At 40.9% G+C, this 4623-nt stretch overlaps 1 annotated feature.

Moving 5' to 3' along the window:
- Positions 3136 to 3336: a silencer, noted in NCBI's record as "peak757 fragment used in MPRA reporter construct". NCBI's record gives its function as "represses an SCP1 promoter by STARR-seq MPRAs in K562 erythroleukemia cells {active_cell/tissue: K562}" and the evidence as "EXISTENCE:reporter gene assay evidence [ECO:0000049][PMID:32103011]".

Below are 4623 nucleotides of genomic sequence, written 5' to 3'. Positions count from 1 at the left end.
GCTTCATAGAATGAGTAGAGGGAAGTATTCATTTGTCTTCAATTTGCAGAATTGGTACAATTGGCATTCTGGAAGAATTTGTAAAATCAATATTATTTCTTCCTCAAGGAAGAATTCATCAGTGAAGCCATCTGGTCCTGAGTGGTTTTTTGTTTTTGTTTTTGTTTTCCTGGTGGAAAGATTTTAAACTATGACTTTAATTTCTCTAATAGATATGAGACTACTCAGGTATTTATTTCTTCGTGAGACAGGTTATGTATTTCTTTTTGAGTGAAATTCACTAGTTTGCATCTTTTAAGAAATTTGACCAGCTCTTCGAAATTGTTGAATCTATTGGTATAGGTTGTTCATAATTGTACTAGGTTGAGTAGTGTCTCCCAACAATTCATGTCAACCAGCACCTCAGAATGTGACCTTATTTAGAAATAGGGTCTTTGCAGATATAATTAATCAAGACGAGGTAATACTGGATTAGGGTGGGCCCTACACCTAATATAGTTGGTGTCCTTATAAGAAGAGAGAAATATGGACACAGAGACATAAACCCACAGACAACAGAGGCAGAGATTGGAGTGAAGCAGCTGCAGGCCAAGTAATGCCATGAATTTCTAGCCCCTACCAGAAGACAGAAAAAGGCAAGGAAGGATTCTACCCAGAGTCTCAGAGGAAAAATGACTCGCTGACACCTTGATCTTGGACTTCTAGCTCCAGAAGTGTGAGAGAATAAATTTCTGTTGTTTAAGCTATACGTTTATGGTACTTAGTTACAGCAGCCCTAGGAAATTAATACAGTACTAGTCCCTTATTATCCTTTTAATAGTAGTAGAATCTGCAGGGATGTCACCTCTCTTACTCCTGATATTAGTAATTTGTGTCTTCTGTTTCTATTTTCCTGATCAGTCTGGCTTGAAATTGATCAACTTTATTGATCTTCTCAAAGAAACAGCTTTTGGTTTCATTGATTTGTCTCTTTTGCTTTGCTCTTCTATTTCATTGATTTCCACCCTAATGTGCATTGTTTTCTCTCTTCTACTATTGTATGCTTAATTTTCTCTTTTTTTCTCGTTTCTTAATGTAAGAATGGAGGTTACTGACTGGAGACCTTTGTTCTTTTCTAATGTTTTAGTTTAGGGCAATAAAATTCCTCTGAAGTATTATTTAGCAGCATCTCACAAATTTTGATATGTTATGTTTCCACTTTTATTCAGTTCAAATACTTTTCTAATTTCCCTTATGATTTCTTCTTTGACCTCCAGGGTTATTTAGAAATATGTTAGTTTTCAAATATTTGGAGATTTGCCAGTGATCTTTCAGTAATTGATTTATGTTTTAATTCCACTGTGACCAGAGAATACATTTTTTATAACAAATCCTTTTACATTTATTGAGACTTATTTTATGGCCCAGAATATGACTTATCTTGGTAAATGTTTTGTGTGCATTGAAAAGAATGTATATTCTGTTATTCTTGGATGGAGTGTTAGATGTCAATTAGGTCAAGTTGGTTGATAGTGTTTGCATAATCTATTCTATATCCTAACTGATTTTCTTTCTATTGTTTTATCAAAGATAAAAATGGGATAGTAAACTATCATTGTGAATTTCTCTATTTCTTCTTGTTGTTCCATCAATCTTTGATTTGTATGCTTTGAAGATCTTTTATTAGGTGCATATATATTTAGTATTGTTATATTCTCTTGATGAATTGATTCCTTTATCATTATGAAACAATCTTTCTATCCCTGATAATATTATTTCCTCTGAAATATACTTTGTGTTATATTAATGATATTGAGATAGGTACTCCATCTTTCCTTTAATCAGTGTTATCACAGTTTATCTCTTCTCATTCAGTTAACCTATTTGTGTATTATTATTTAATTGTATTTCATGTATGCAGCATATAGTTGGGCCAATATGACAATCTCTACCTTTTAATTGGGGTGTTTAAACCGTTTACACTACAGTTAATGTAATTATTTATATGGTTAACTTTAAATATATCATCTTACCTTTTATTTATTTGTCCTAACTGTCCTTTGTTCCTCTTCATTCTTTTCCTGCCTTCTTTGGGATTAATTGAATAATTTTGTTATTTATTTTAAGTTCCTTTTTGGCTTATTAACAATTACTCCCCCTCTCCCTGTCCCTCTCCCTCTCCCCCTCCCTCTCCCTCTCTCCCTCCCTCTCCCTCTCTGTCTCCCCACCATCTCCCTCTCCCTCTCTTTTCACGGTCTCCCTCTGATGCCGAGCCGAAGCTGGACTGTACTGCCACCATCTCGGCTCACTGCAACCTCCCTGCCTGATTCTCCTGCCTCAGCCTGCCGAGTGCCTGCGATTGCAGGCGCGCGCCGCCACGCCTGACTGGTTTTCGTATTTTTTGGTGGAGACGGGGTTTCGCTGTGTTGGCCGGGCTGGTCTCCAGCTCCTAACCGCGAGTGATCCGCCAGCCTCGGCCTCCCGAGGTGCCGGGATTGCAGATGGAGTCTCGTTCACTCAGTGCTCAATGGTGCCCAGGCTGGAGTGCAGTGGCGTGATCTCGGCTTGCTACAACCTCCACCTCCCAGCCGCCTGCCTTGGCCTCCCAAAGTGCCAAGATTGCAGCCTCTGCCCGGCCGCCACCCCCTCTGGGAAGTGAGGAGCGTCTCTGCCTGGCCGCCCATCGTCTGGGATGTGAGGAGCCCCTCTGCCCAGCCACCCAGTCTGGGAAGTGAGGAGCGCCTCTTCCCTGCCACCATCCCGTCTAGGAAGTGAGGAGCGTCTCTGCCCAGCCGCCCCATCTGAGAAGTGAGGAGCCCCTCCGTCCAGCAGCCGCCCCATCTGAGAAGTGAGGAGCCCCTCCGCCCGGCAGCCGCCCCGTCTGAGAAGTGAGGAGCCCCTCCGCCCGGCAGCCGCCCCTTCTGGGAAGTGAGGAGCCCCTCTGCCCGGCCACCACCCCGTCTGGGAGGTGTACCCAACAGCTCATTGAGAACGGGCCATGATGACGATGGCGGTTTTGTGGAATAGAGAAGGGGGAAAGGTGGGGAAAGGATAGAGAAATCAGATTGTTGCTGTGTCTGTGTGGCAAGAGGTAGACATGGGAGACTTCATTTTGTTCTGTACTAAGAAAAATTCTTCTGCCTTGGGATCCTGTTGATCTATAACCTTACCCCCAACCCTGTGCTCTCTGAAGCATGTGCTGTGTCCACTCAGGGTTAAATGGATTAAGGGCGGTGCAAGATGTGCTTTGTTAAACGGATGCTTGAAGGCAGCATGCTCCTTAAGAGTCATCACCACTCCCTAATCTCAAGTACCCAGGGACACAAACACTGCAGAAGGCCGCAGGGTCCTCTGCCTAGGAAAACCAGAGACCTTTGTTCACTTGTTTATCTGCTGACCTTCCCTCCACTATTGTCCTATGACCCTGCCAAATCCCCCTCTGCGAGAAACACTCAAGAATGATCAATAAAAAAAAAAAAAAAATAGAGGATAGAATTTCCCCTGATAGAAAACGGGGAAACACACATGAAAAGACAGTTAAAAGAAAAAGATAATTAAATGGCCTTCAAAGATAAAAAAAAAAAAAAAACAAAAAAAAAAAACAAAACAAAAAATTACTCTTTGGTCACTTTAGTGGTAGATTTAGAGTTCAAGGTATACATCTGTAACTTATTACAGCCTAACTTGAAGTGACCTTATTCACTTTACCTGTAGTATAAGAATGAGTGTACTTCTATTTTTCCCCTCCCAATCTCTATGCCATTGTTGTCATGCGTTTTACTTTGTCAAATGTTTTTAACTCTATGCTACATTGTGGTTAGTTTTGTTCAAACAATCAATTATCTTTTAAAAATTTCTGGCCGTGCACAGTGGCTCACGCCTGTAATCCCAGCACTTTGCGGGGCCAAGACGGGCGGATCATGAGGTCAGGAGATGGAGACCATTCTGGCTAACATGGTGAAACCACGTCTCTACTAAAAATACAATAAATTAGCCAGGCGAGGTGGCGGGCGCCTGTACTCTCAGCTACTCGGGAGGCTGAGGCAGGAGAATGGCGTGAACCCAGGAAGCAGAGCTTGCAGTGAGCCAAGATCGTGCCACTGCACTCCGGCCTGGGCGACAGAGCGAGACTCCGTCTCAAAAAAAAAAAAAAAAAAAAAAAATTCTAAATAAAATTTTTACAAGTTCTTACATAATTATTCCTACAATTACCACTTCCACTATTCTTCCTTTGTGTAGATCCTTATTTCCATCTGGCATTACTTCTTTCTGCCTGAATGACTCCTTTAATATTTTTTGTAGTGCACGTCTGCTGGTGATGAAATCTTTCACCTTTTGTATTTCTGAAAAAGTCCTTATTTTGCCTTCATTTTTGAAAGATACTTTTGCTTGGCCTAGAATTCTAGTTTGAAATTTTTTCTTTTAACACGTTGTTCCATTGTCTTTTTGTTTGTGCTTTTTCTGATGAGAAAACTGCTGTCATCCTTCTCTTTGTTCTTCTGTACATACCATCTGTCTTTCCTCTGACTACTTTTAGAACTTTCCTTTTATTACTAGTTTCTTGCAGTTCGATTAAGAGGCAACTTGGTGTCATTTTGCTTGTTTTATAAACTCTGAGATGTAGTTTGTTGAAAAATACAATAA

Source organism: Homo sapiens, chromosome 1 (assembly GCF_000001405.40).
Source record: "Homo sapiens chromosome 1, GRCh38.p14 Primary Assembly".
NCBI lineage: Eukaryota > Metazoa > Chordata > Mammalia > Primates > Hominidae > Homo > Homo sapiens.
The sequence above is the reverse complement of the archived record's forward strand: the minus strand, read 5'-3'. Positions and strand labels throughout refer to the sequence as shown.